At 48.3% G+C, this 13,753-nt stretch overlaps 1 pseudogene, besides 4 other annotated features; it reads right to left on the reverse strand.

Annotated features, from left to right (window-relative positions):
• Positions 1-150: an enhancer, noted in NCBI's record as "active region_12685". NCBI's record gives its function as "activates an Ori minimal core promoter by ATAC-STARR-seq in GM12878 lymphoblastoid cells {active_cell/tissue: GM12878}" and the evidence as "EXISTENCE:reporter gene assay evidence [ECO:0000049][PMID:35858748]".
• Positions 5,796-5,865: an enhancer, noted in NCBI's record as "active region_12686". NCBI's record gives its function as "activates an Ori minimal core promoter by ATAC-STARR-seq in GM12878 lymphoblastoid cells {active_cell/tissue: GM12878}" and the evidence as "EXISTENCE:reporter gene assay evidence [ECO:0000049][PMID:35858748]".
• Positions 6,469-6,778: an enhancer, noted in NCBI's record as "active region_12687". NCBI's record gives its function as "activates an Ori minimal core promoter by ATAC-STARR-seq in GM12878 lymphoblastoid cells {active_cell/tissue: GM12878}" and the evidence as "EXISTENCE:reporter gene assay evidence [ECO:0000049][PMID:35858748]".
• POLR3KP2 (RNA polymerase III subunit K pseudogene 2) lies at positions 12,060-12,674 on the reverse strand (annotated as a pseudogene).
• Positions 13,425-13,674: an enhancer, noted in NCBI's record as "active region_12688". NCBI's record gives its function as "activates an Ori minimal core promoter by ATAC-STARR-seq in GM12878 lymphoblastoid cells {active_cell/tissue: GM12878}" and the evidence as "EXISTENCE:reporter gene assay evidence [ECO:0000049][PMID:35858748]".

The raw sequence follows: 13,753 nt of genomic DNA on the forward strand, positions 1-13,753 counted from the left end.
TAAAGAAAAAGAGGTTTAATGGACTTACAGTTCCATGTGGCTGGGGAAGCCTCACAATCACGGCCGAAGGTGAAAGGCACGTCTTACGTGACAGCAGGCAAGAGAGAATAAAAGCCAAGTGAAAGGGGAAACCCCTTATAAAACCATCAGATCTCGTGAGACTTATTCACTACCATGAGAACAGTATGGGGAAAACCTCCCCCATGATTCAATTATCTCCCACCGGGTCCCTCCCACAACACGTGGAAATTACGGGAGCTACAATTCAAGATGAGATTTGGATGGGGACACAGCCAAACCATATCAGGGAGTAATTAAGGAATCGGCCAAAGCTGCAGTCATCTGAGGCTTGACTGAGGCTGAAGAATCCACCTCTAAGCTCATTCCTGTGGTTGTTGGCTGGAGGTTCCACCTTCCCATCCTATAGGACTGCTCAAGACAGGGCTCACGACCTTTCCTCAAAAGGAGACGGGGGAAGAGAGGAGAGGGGAGGTGAGAGGAAGGGAAGAGAGGGGAGGGAGGAGAGAGGAGGAGAGGTGGAGACGGGTGAGAGCCTCCAAGATAAAAGGCACAATGCTTTCCATATCCTAATCTCTGAAGTGACATACCATCATCCATCATATGTATTAGTCATACAGATCAATCCTGGTACAATGTGAGAGGGGCCGTGCAGGGTGTAAATACCAGGAGATGGGGTTTATTAGGGCTCATCTTGGAGGCTGGCTACCACATACCCTTTCTCAAGAAACTCCTGGAGGTGATGCTCCACCAAAACGAAGAAGTAAGCCAGACAGAGCAAGAGAGAGCAAACAGAAGACGAACATTGGGAAGCAAGAAAGAAATCCTCAGGGTAATGGTAAAGAGAAGTCCTGAGATGAGAGCTGCGCAGCAGACTTCAAGAACAACTGGTCTAGATTGAGCAGAAGGATAATGATCTCCAGGAAGAATGCCTCTAAGCCATAAATGAAATCAATATGTTGAATAAAGTTAGAGAAGATTTTTGACTGCAGAATTTAGGAATGAATCATTAATAGGTACACAAAAAAGGAAGTAAAAAAAATCTGGGGGGCTGGCCATGGTGGCTCACGCCTGTAGTCACAGTATTTTGGGAGGCCAAGGGGGGCAGATCATTTGAGGTCAAGAGTTACAGACCAGCCTGGCCAACATGGTGAAACCCCGTCTCTACTGAAATTACAAAAATTAGCTGGGCGTGGTGGTGCACGCCTGTAATCCCAGCTACTCGGGAGGCTAAGGCAGGAGAATCACTTGAACCCAGGAATCAGAGGTTGCAGTGAACCGACATCATGCCACTGCACTCCAGCCTGGGTGATGGAGTGAGACTCTGTTTCAAAAAAAAAAATTTTTTTTTTTTTTTAACAAAGAGGTAATCATTAACTTCAGGGAAAACAAAAGACTCTACAAGAAAAAAAGAGGCCAGCAAAGCATAGTGCTTGGCTCAGCTGTAAATAATATTTACATTGTTATAGTAATGCAAACATTGACTACTGACTTGATAAAAATGATGGCAAATGATGTGGTTTGGCTGTGCCCCCACCCAAAATGTCATCTTGAATTATAACCCCCATAATTGAACCATGGGGGCAATTTCCCCTATGCTATTCTCGTGAGAGTGACTTCTCATGAAATCTTATCTTGTGGTTTTATACGTGTCTGGCATTTCCCCTGCTGAACCTCATTCTCTCTCCTGCCACCCTGTAAAGAGGTGCCTTCCGCCATGATTGTAAGTTTCATGAGGCCTCCCCAGCCATGCGGAACTGAGTCAATCAAACCTATTTTCTTTATAAATTACCCAGTCTCGGGTATTTCTTCATAGCAGTGTGAGAATGAACTAACACAGTAACTATATTGGGAGGAAAGGAAATAGGGAAGTTCATCACATAGGTGGTGAGTTGGGGCTCTTTCATAGGAAGCCAATAGAGTCCAAAACAGAAAAATCAAGAAATAGAAGTATAAGTATGCCATTTAGAAAACATAGAGGTTAAATTCAGTAACAGAAGAAACAAAAAAAAGAATTGAAAGTTTTTGTACTTAGGGAAAGTGTCAGAAGTGGAGAAGGATAGAGCAGGAGTCTGCTGGGTGTTTGTTTGTTTGTTTGAGACAGAGTCTCACTCTGTCACCAGGCTGGAGTGCAGTGGCGCGATCTCGGCTCACTGCAACCTCTGCCTCCCGGTTGAAGCGATTCTCCTGCCTCAGCCTCCCAAATGGCTGGGACTACAGGCGTGCACCACCACCCCCGGCTAAATTTTTGTATTTTTAGTAGAGTTGGGGTTTCACCATGTTGGCCAGGATAGTCTCCATCTCCTGACCTTGTGATCTGCCTGCCTTGGCCTCCCAAAGTGCTGGGATTACAGGTGTGAGCCACCGTGCCCAGCCATAGTCTGCTGTTTTTCTTTAGAAGTCTAATCCTACCGTTTGGTTTGATAAAAAATAAAATAAAATTTAAAATAAAAAGATTTTACTGGTCAAACAAATCCTTCTACTGGTTTGCACTGAAGATCAGCATATATTATCAGCATATATTTTACTATCTGGACCTCAAATTATAGAGAATTATATAATTTTAGAAGAAATTAACCAGGATGAGTTATTTCAGCCCACTAGGCAGCGTCTATCTACTCAGGGCTACAGAGCTACTCTGCCTCCCACCCAACTAAATAAACGCATCAGGCTGGGTGCGGTGGCTCACGCCTAAATTCCAGCACTTTGGGAGGCTGAGGCAGGAGGATCACCTGAGGTCAGGAGTTTGAGACCAGCCTGACCAATATGGTGAAACCCTGACTCTTCTAAAAATACAAAAATTAGCCAGGCATGGTGTCACATGCCTGTAATCCCAGCTACTCAGGAGGCTGAGGCAGGAGAATCACTTGAACCCAGGAGGCAGAGGTTGCAGTGAGCCAAGATTGCACCACTGCACTCCAGCCCGGGTGACAGAGCGAGACTCCGTCTCAAAAAAAAAAAAAAAAAAATGCATCAAATGTTCATTAAGTCATGCAGCATTAATTGCTTTGTGATGAACTGCCAGTTTTGTGACAAGATACTGAAAACAGGAACAAAACCAGTTTCAGAAATGACAACCCTTTATAGCATCTCTCCTAAATAGAATATATGAGGCCATGAAAAAAACACTGGATTTCTGAAAGGCCTGTGAAGGGCAGGAGGACATCAAAAGCAACTACCGTCCTGCATGATTTCTGAACACTTGCAAAGGATTTCAGGCCTGGGATAGGCTTCTGAGTTCCCTTATCCTGAGAGGACACAGTCAAAAGTTGGACTGCATAGGCCAGGCGCAGTGGCTCACACCTGTAATCCCAGCACTTTGGGAGGCCAAGGTGGGCAGACTGCTTGAGGTCAGGAGTTCGAGACCAACCTGGCCAATATGGTGAAATCCTCGTCTCTACTAAAAATACAAAAAAATTAGCCGGGGTGGTGGCGCATGCCTGTAGTCCTAGCTACTGAGGAGGCTGAGGCAGGAGAATCCCTTGAACCCCAGGAGGTGGAGGTTGCAGTGAGGTAAGATCGTGCAATTGCACTCCAGCCTGGGTGACAGAGTGAGACTCTATCTCAGGAAAAAGAAAAAAAAAAAAAAGAGTTGGACTGCAGGGCTTAGAAACCAATTTTCTCCCCATTTCTCTTATACATTCTTCGTGTTTAGAATAGATGGATGAAGGTGTGTATACCTGTGTAGGAGGATTATATACAGACATGCTCTTCAGAGACATGACATTGTCAGTTGCCTGTTTTGTGCTTTTGACTTGTTTATTTTTGCCAATAACATCAGAACTATACATCAAAGTGAGTACTGGCTATTCCTAAATAGTCCAACAGCACTAAAAAGTGCACATCTTGGAAAACTAAATATGCATTTAATATCACCACTGCCAATTCATTTCTGGAACTTGTCCTTAAAAATTCACTTTGGAGCTGAAATCAGAATGTTTAGAATAGACTCACTGGTGTCAAGTCTTCATTTTGGGGGGATGGGAGATAGGATTTTTAGAACCAGTCATATTCTGGTAAGTTGTTTAAAATTTTTATATGCTATGTATACATGCAAAAGTTGTGTTAAAAATTGTTTAAGTTCTGGCTGGGCGCGGTGGCTCATGCCTGTAATCCCAGCACTTTGGGAGGCCGAGGTGGGCAGATCACTTGAGGTTGGAAGTTCAAGACCAGTCTGGCCAGCATGGTGAAACCCCATCTCTACTCTAAAAATACAAAAATTAGCCAGGCATGGTGGTGGGCACCTGTAATTCCAGCTACTCGGGAGGCTGAGGCAGGAGAATTGCTTGAACCTGGGAGGCAGAGGTTGCAGTGAGGCCAGATGGTGCCATTGCACTCCAGCCTGGGCAACAAGAGCGAGACTCCATCTCAAAAAAAAATTTGTTTAAGTTCTATTTAAATGGGCTCATTATTGAAGGAGCACTAAAGTGAGCGCTTCTGCAGGGTCACACTGTGAGGCCAAGCCTCATCTCCCCAGACACCTGCTCTGGCAGGTCATGTTAGGATCCTACAACGTCCTTACCCATCTCTACTGGGAGTGAAGACACCTCCTAAGTCTTGAATCCAATTATTCAAAAGAGTCCAGTGTTCCAACAGGCTAGAAACAAAGCCTAGAACTGTCATGCTTTGCAACCCCAAGTAAAAGGGTCTTGCCAGGGAGAAAGATTGAGTGTCTGAAGTGGTATGGAGAAATTAGGTTTCAGTGGCAGGCACAGGGACAATCTGTCAGATCTGGCTGCTGGAGAGTGAGGTGGGAGAGAGCCAGGGAGGGGGAGGAGGAGCAGCCGTTTGTAGGCTGTGAGGGCGAGAGGAGACACATGAATGACTCGGGGGCGGGGGCGGGGGCAGGGCTCCCATTCCCCCTCACCAGGCCGGCCATCTGCTCTGGGGCCTCAGGCAGGCGGGTACCATGAAGCTTGGGGACTGGCAGCCCAACCAGCAAACAAAGCCAACAAGCTGGCTCCGCTACAAGGGAGCAAGAAGAAGCCAGCAGGGAAGTCTTACTTTTGGAAAGTGGCCAGGTCCCATCACGAGGGCCTCACCTGGCTGAACAAAGTCCCTCCTGGTCCCACGACTGGAACCCATTCCGATGCCCATGGGCTCTGTGGAGTCACCTCCTGTGTCAAAGAAGGAAAACCCACCCTTTCAGCCTTACAGAAACGTTTGTAGCCCTCAGCAAAAGCATCCTTTGCGGCTTTAGCATTCAGCCTCCAAACAGGCACTAAGTGCTACCCCGCCACCCCCAGATAGCTTTTCAAGACCCTTTTCCAAATCCATTTGTCTTTGCAGAATCCACTCCCTTTGCAGAATTGACATCTGCCCTCAATGACTTCTCACCTGGGCCTCTAGCAATCTCATGCCTGCCTCTTCCCAAGAAGGGCACCCTGATCTCGGATAGAGGAGATTCTCTTTGTCAGTGAGGCCAGAGAGAGGAAAGCCACCATGAGAAGGGGAGACAGAAAACGCCAGGATCTGGATTCCAAGGCACTGCCATCATCCTGATTCTAACAGGGCAGCATCGCATCCCCAGATGGGCAGGAGGATGGGGAGGGGAGTGAGAAAAGAGAAAAGAAAGGCCTTGGGATGGACGTTTGGGCCCCATCCTGCAAGGCCGGGTGCCGAGCTCGCAGAGGCCGCCCCGGAGGTGAGTTCTGTGCGCTCACCCCACCCCGGGGCCGGCTAAGGAACTGCAGCCTCTTTGGAAACGTAATTGAACTATATCAGCTGCAGTGGCTGGATTCACTCCTGGTGTTTGCTTCTTCCGGGGAGCAGAGGCCCTTCAGCAGCAGAAATTCCTGACTCAGAAAGTGAGAGAGAGAAAGAAACAGGCTCTGTGATAAGAGATGGGACGCCGCTCAGCATGAAGACCCACCCACCCCCAACTCCTGCCAACGCTGGGCCAACATCTCCACTTGGAAATCCTCTCTTCTGGGTCTGCACCTTCCCAAAGCCCTGTTAAATTTTAAATATTCTGTGTCCCGTTAGGGAGGAACTACCGTTTCGGCCACTAGCACAAGGAGACTAGGACGAGGAGAATTTCCAGAGCAAGGAGGAGCTATCCGTGGAGACGGGACAGGGTGGGAGCCTCACCCAGGTACCCAGCTGCTGGCAACACACAGGAACACAGACCCCAGGAGGGAAAAGGCCAGTGTGGTCAACTCTGGCCATGATTAAATTAGATCCTGACCTTCGTCGCTCTAATTACAACGAGGACCCGAATTACTGGTTCTGGCCCATTTGTGAAGTTGCTGCCCTTTCACAAGCTGTGAAACACCCATTCTACAGGAACCAGTGCATCTTGCCAAAGGGAAGTGAGGTGAGGTGTCTACCCTGCTATCTCACTAGGAGAGGAGAGGTAGTTGAAGGGGATTTTCCTTATGAGAGAGAAAACTCTGGTTCCATCTGCTCATGGAACAGAGACTTCCAGGCCCCACGGCTGCACAAACCCTGCTCAGAATGCCCTCTGCCCAGATAACAGGGTTCCCAGGGTGATGGAGTGCAGTGTGAGTCCACAGTCTCCTCCCTGGGGGAGGAGAGCTCCTGAGTTGCTTGTGGCTTCACCCAGGACAGTCTTTCTCCCTTCCTGATCTAAAGTTTCTCCACATCAGAATCGAGACAGTTTAACTCTCAGAGGTTCTCGGCTCTAGCTCACATGAAAATCAACTGGGGAGCTTGAAAAAATTACCTGGGCCCCATGCCAAAAATTAAATGAGAATAGCTAAGGACGGAGCCAGGGCACCCTTAGTTTTAGAATTCCCCAGGTGATTTTCCCATGTAGCAGCCTTGTCTCAAAGCCCTGACAGGTGCTCTCAGAGGGGCGTTCTGCCGCTGTGAGTCTATAAATCCCTCCCACCCCCCAGCAGCAGCTCCTCTTTTGGGGAAGAGGCTGCTCTTCTGATTAGGCTAATCAGGCAATTCAGCATTTGGTGGAGGGTGGGGGTGGAGGGAGTCACACAGCAGGAAAGCACCAGGCACTTCTGTCACTTGGGTCATTCTGGAAGGGAGAGGAAAAAATTCTTCTAGGAGGCCTGGATGATTGTCAGAGCCTCAGAGAACTTGGAAACAATCCAGAACTCATCCACAAAGACGTTCTTAGGATGGGAAAGTAACTGCCTGGAGAAGGGCTTAAAACAATTGTGGGCCCGGCGTGGTGGCTCATACCTGTCATCCCAGCACTTTGGAGGTTCGAGGTGGGAATGGGGGGGATCACGTGAGCCCATGAGTTCAAGACCATCCTGGGCAACATAGCGAGACCCTGTCTCTACAAAAAATAATAATAATAATAATTCAAAAATTCACCAGGCCTGCTGGTGCATGCCTGTAGTCCCAGCTCCTCGGCAGGCTGAGGTGAGAGGATTGCTTGAGCACAGGAGGTCAAGGCTGCAGTGAGCAGTGATCAAGCCACTGAACTTCAGCCTAGGCAACAGAATGAGACTGTCTCAAACAACAACACAACAAACAATTGTGGCTATCGATCAGGGGAAGGGATTGTCTCTAGTATTGTAATCAGCCTCTAAGAACGATTAAGGAAGGTGGGAGTCCCATTTGCCAATGGATTCTTGCTCTGCATAATTATGTTCAGGATTTGGTAGTTAAACTGTCACTGCTAGCTGTGTGACCTTGGGCAGGGTACTTAACCTCTCTGTGCCTTGCTTCATTCACAAAAAGGAGGATTAATAATGCTGATGGTATTTCATAGGATTACAGTGAGGATTAAATGAGTTAACAGAAAGCATCTAGCACAGTGCTTGGCACACAGTAAGCACAGAATAGGTGTTGAAAATTACTCAGGGAAATACAGGGAAAATTACTCATAGGGAATCCATGGCTAAATAAGTTGGGAAACACTGGGTTAAAGATCAACAGCTGTCTTTCCTGCAAGATTTCTCAAAATACCAATGTTACTACTGATAAAGGCATGTGCCACAAAGGTTGAGAGAATTAAATGAGATAAAAGGTGTGTGAAACACTCAGTGCACCCTGCACGTAATGGACATTATAATAAGTATGTGAGGCCGGGCGCAGTGGCTCTCACCTGTAATCCCAGCACTTTGGGAGGCTGAGGCCAGCGGATCACTTGAGCTCAGGAATTCGAGACCAGCCTGGGCAACATGGCAAAACCCTATCTCTATTAAAAATACAAAAATTAGCCAGGCGTAGTCCCAGTGACTTGGGAGGCTGAGATGGAAGAATGGCTTGAGCCCAGGAGGTCGAGGCTGCAGTGAGCCAAGATAACGTCACTGCACTCCAGCCTGGGAGACACAGTGAGACCCTATCTCTCTCTTCTCTCTCTTCTCTCTCTCTCTCTCTCTCTCTCTCTCTCTATATATATATATATATGAATGTGAGAGAGAGAGACATATATATATATGAATGAGAGAGAGAGACATATGATATATATATGAATGTGAATCTGCAGGACATGGGGTGAATGGTGAATGTGCAGCTGTGCACCATTTCCCAGAGTTGCCTGTGCTCTTTTTCTTTTTTTTTTTTTCTCGAGAGACAGAGTCTCACTCTGTTGCCCAGGCTGGAGTGCAGTGGTGTGATATCAGCACACTGCAACCTCCGCCTCCCAGGTTCAAGTGATTCTCGTGCCTCAGCCACCCAAGTAGCTGGAATTACAGGTGCACACCACCATGCCCGGCTATTTTTTGTATTTTTGGTAGAGACAGGGGTCTCACCATGTTGGTCAAGCTGGTCTCAAATTCCTGGGCTCAAGGGATCCACCTGCCTTGGCCTCCCAAAGTAGTGGGATTACAGGCGTTAGTCACCATGCCCAGCCGATTTTTCTACGTAGCATCTTGCTCTGAGAATTAGTGGTCCAGGAAGCACACTCTGGAAAAAGTCACAGCAGGAGACAGCCTCAAATTTTCCAACTCTGTCACCATGGCACTGAAAAAGAGGAGCCGGACCAGGCAAGAGCAGCAGAGATGTGGTTATCAGGAAGAATGTACTGGTGCCAGAGAAGTGCTGGGACAGACGGTGGGGGAGCTGGGGACTCCTCTCTCCTCCAGCTTTCATACCCCGTGCGAGTGGGGTCCCTGTGGAAGGGGCATGAGTCCGCGATTCAGAAGAGCTGATTTGACTCTTGACTTTGCCACTCCCTTGCTGGGTGGCCTTGGTCAAGTCACCTGTCCTCTCTGAGCCTGGTATCTTTACTTGGATAATGATGGGATGTAGGCTATAAACCTGAGAATGTCTAAGGACCCTTCTGGCTCCAGGATTTTATGTCTATATGCATTTCGGCCAAAATGGGGATGAGAAGAAAAAAAGGGAATCCTATCTAGAGCACAGTGTCTTCTAACCACGATTCCTGATTCTAGACTTGTTTGGGGGTGGTTTCCAAAGAGCTTCTAATGCCTACTCACTCACTTGGCCAATGTATTCCCTGAGGGTCGAGGTTGCTAATAGAGAAAAATGGTGACACGCCATGCCAGACTCATAGCTGTTGAGGGCTAGGGGACAGAGAGAGGAAGAAAGGTCCTCATTTGAATTCTTTGTGTATTTGAAGAGACTATTAAATCGACTATGCCAAATGCCCCCCCAACCTCCTTTTTTTTTTTTTTTTTTGAAACAGGGTCTTGCTCTATCACCCAGGCGGGAGTGTAGTGGCATGATCTTGGCTCACTACAACCTCCACCTCTCGAGCTCACGAGATCCTCCCATCTCAGCCCCTCAAGTAGCTGGAACTACAGGTGTGCACCACCATGCTTGGCTAATTTTTTTTTTTTTTTTTTTTTTGTAGAGATGAGGTCTCACTATATTGCCCAGGATGGTCTCAAACTCCTGGGCTCAAGTGATCCTCCTTCCTCAGCCTTCCAAAATGCTGGGATTACAGGCATGAGCCACTGTGCCCAGCCCTCAAGTTTTTAAACAGTGATATGGTGACTGTACTCTATATTTTCCAAACTAAACATCAGGACCCATGGTATCAGAAAGGCTTTTACATGCTGACATTTCCATTTTCGTAAAATGCGGATGGTTTGTGGGGGACAAGGGAAATAACAGCTAAAAACAGGAGTGTCCCAGGAAGCCAAGGTACTACGATCACCATGCCGAGTATCTTCTCCCCCGCCCCCTCAAACCACCGGATATCTGATGTTCTCCACGGCAGAAGCATTGCTCTTTTCTCATCAATAGAAATGGCAGACCTCACCCTGGCATTCCCGTAAAGATGATAAAAACCACATTGGATGCTCAGACTGGTATCTAACACTCTCAAACACATCCAATCCTCCCCTCAGGGCTCTCTTGCTTTCCTCCAGGCTTAATTGCAATACTTACTTTCACCAAATTGATTGCAGACTAACAATTTCCCCCATTTAATTTATTAAGCCACTCAGAGACATAATGACCTATTTGGGAGTTGTGTCTTCCCTGTGGAGCTCCTAGACGATGAACTCCTCTTGGCAAGAGTGAACCGAGCAGCCCCTCCCCATGGAAGGGGCTGGACACTGGCCTGGCCCTTTGTCCTCCTCCTTTTCTTAATTTCCTGCCACCTATTGTCTCTCTGATAACTGCTGACAGAGGGAAGGGTGCTATTTAATTGCTTTAAAGATATCAAACAAGCCAGTTAGAAGGTTATCTCCTCCCCAACCCCTCTATTTTTCTGGCTCAAGGTTTTGTTACTTAGTTACTAGCCAAGCTGCAGAGGAAGAAGAGGTAGCCCCATGTGGATTACAGCTCAGACTTCATTCAGCAGATGGAGGGCAGAGTCAAAATAGCCTGGGGGAGCCAAAGGTGGAATAGGAACTCGAGGTTGGCCCCTGAGTGCTGCTGGCAGCCCAAACTGCTCTTTGGAGGCCTTCAAAGGTGGGGAGGGGAGAAGAGAGGAGGCATTCATTTTCTGGACAAAATCAACAATCATCCTAGATGACACATTTCTGCTGTCAAGGTCCATGTTGTTCAGAGCCCACTCAGCCAGCTGCAGTAAGACAGGTGTGCCTAACGTGGGTGCATCAGTACTTTTTCCAGGCTGGGTCTGCCCTATGTGATAAGGAGGGGAAGGCTCGACAAGGAAAGTGCATGAAGGGGAATGTTGCTTTATTTGGTCATCCACATTAAAGAGCATACAGGGCTACATGTGGTGGCTCACACCTGTAATCCCAGCATTTTGGGATTATTCAGCCTATTCAGGAGGCTGAGGTGGGCGATTACCTGAAGTCAGTAGTTCAAGACCGGCCTGGCCAACATGGTGAAACCCTGTCTCTACTAAAATTACAAAAATTAGCCAGGCATGGTGGCAACCGCCCGGAGTCCCAGCTACGCAGGAGGCTGAGGCAGCAGAATCACTTGAGCCTGGGAGGCAGAGGTTGCTGTGAGCTGACATCACGCCACTGCACTCCACCTTGGACAACAGAGTGAGACTCCGTCTCAAAAAAAATAAAAATTAGGCCAGGCGTGGTGGCTCATGCCTGTAATCCCAGCACTTTGGGAGCCCGAGGCGGGTGGATCACTTGAGGTCAGGAGTTTGAGACTAGCCTGGGCAACATAGTGAAACCCCGTCTCTACTAAAAATACAAAACTTAGCAGGGCATGGTGGCGCACACCTGTAATCCCAGCTCCTCGGGACGCTGAGGTACAAGAATCGCTTGAACCTGGGAGGTGGAGGTTGCAGTGGGCCAAGATCGCACCACTGCACTCCAGCCTGGGCAACAAGAGCGAAACTCCATCTCAAAAAAAAAAAAAAAAAAAAAAAAAAGAGGTCAGGCACGGTGGCTCACACCTGTAATCCCAGCACTTTGGGAGGCCGAGGTGGGTGAATCACGAGGTCAGGAGATCAAGATCATACTGGGTAACACAGTGAAACCGCATCTCTACTAAAACTACAAAAAATTAGCCAGGCACGGTGGCACGTGCCTGTAGCCCCAGCTACTCGGGAGGCTGAGGCAGGAGAACGGTGTGAACCCGGGAGGTGGGGCTTGCAGTGAGCCAAGATCGTGCCACTGCACTCCAGCCTGGGCGACAGAGCGAGACTCCGTCTCAAAAAAGAAAGAAAGAAAGAAGGAAAGAAAGAAAGAAAGAAAGAAAGGAAGGAAGGAAGGAAGAAAGAACAGGACTTCAAACAGAGCATACTTAGTTATGGGTCCCCTCCCCACACAGAAAAACTCCCTGGACATCAATGACTTCATCCATTCGGACTGGCAGATAGGCCACATTTCCTGACACCCTGTCTCTTCACCTTAAAAGGGTTAGCTTTCCACCACACCAGCAAAGACCCTCAGGACACACGATTCATATTCCCAGCTGAGCATCTACCCGGAGGTAAGCAGACGCTCAGGCACCTGGGCCGTCCTTGCCCTAATCCCTCCAGTGGTGTCCACACTGAGTCCTGCAGCACTGGTAGAAGGTGGTCTTCGGCTCATCTGCAGAGTGGGTCTGAAGCTACATGTAGTAAGCACAAGGAGGTTCTCATTGAGGACATGGCTCTGCAGTAGAGTCAACATCCTCCCAGGCAGCTGCTCCCCCAAGCCCATCATCCACTTCTTTCAGCTTTGAGTACTTCCAATTTGTTACCTTGTGGGTGAAGTGCACACAGAGGCACGTGTTGCAGGCGAGGGAGTGGCAGCGGCAGCGCTGTCCCTCCTCCACGATCAGCCCATCCCTGCAGCCAGGGTAGAACAGCAGCATCATCTCGGACTCTGCTGGCTCCAGTTATTATTTTTTTTAATGAAACGTAAATCTGGTATTAACAGTTTGAGAACTTTTAGGAAAGGAATTTGAGGGCAGAGTGGGCACTTCCTGGCTCTTCCTTCTTTTCCTGGAAACCAGTCAGATTACTGGTTTTAAACTGGAGGTGGCAACAGGCATTGTAGCAACTGTGTGGCCAGAGGATGCCGAGTTCCCCTGAGCACAATTCCACGATGCCCTCCTGATATTACTATTACCTCTCTGCCTCTCCCTCTTCCCACTGACGGTGAGCAGACACAGCCCTCTTCCAGTGAGCTAGCCACCCCAGCCCTTCCACTTGCATACACATGTCTAAAAGAGATGCTGGCTCCCAGATTGACTCCTGGAACTTAAGGCAATTGCAGCTCAATTTCCATCTCACCCTGAGCTCCAGGATGCCAAGATTTAAGCCCTATCATGACCAACGTCTCAGAGAGAGATGGAAACTCCTGATCCCCATCTCACAGTGGGTACCCCAAGATACAGCTTGGCCCAGATAGAAGAGAGAGCTGGCTGCTGCTGTACCTGGTGGTTGCTTTTCCATGTCACTCATCTATCTCTAAGGCTCACCCCACCTGCCACACAGCTTCTGGACTTTTACTTTTCCCTGGTGAATTGGAAATCAGATAATAGGATGGACAAATCAAGGCAGCTCAGCTCACAGAGAAAGCTAGTTGGGGTTTGCTTTCTGTTTTCACATCCTCTAAAACTGTACTGAGGATGGTGTGTGTGTGTGTGTGTGTGTGTGTGTGTGTGTATACCTATGTACTTGGAGGAGGGTGAGGAAGGGGAGGCTGCAGGATTGATTATGACTTATTAAACTATTGGAAAAGAGGCTGAATCATCACAGTCAAAAATAAACAGCTGCAACTCCATGCGACTCCCACTTCTTGCCTGCTCCCCTTTGCTCCCTCACAGCATGTAGGAGAGACTGTGCTGGGTCAGACCAGCAGGTGCTGACTGACGTGGCTACAGCAAGGGGACCACCTGTATGGCCGCTGCACCTCCAAGCTGTGGGACGCAGGGACAGCTGGGACCAGTCGACGTCCACTGGCCCTCTGAT

Source organism: Homo sapiens, chromosome 17, assembly GCF_000001405.40.
Source record: "Homo sapiens chromosome 17, GRCh38.p14 Primary Assembly".
Taxonomy (NCBI): domain Eukaryota; kingdom Metazoa; phylum Chordata; class Mammalia; order Primates; family Hominidae; genus Homo; species Homo sapiens.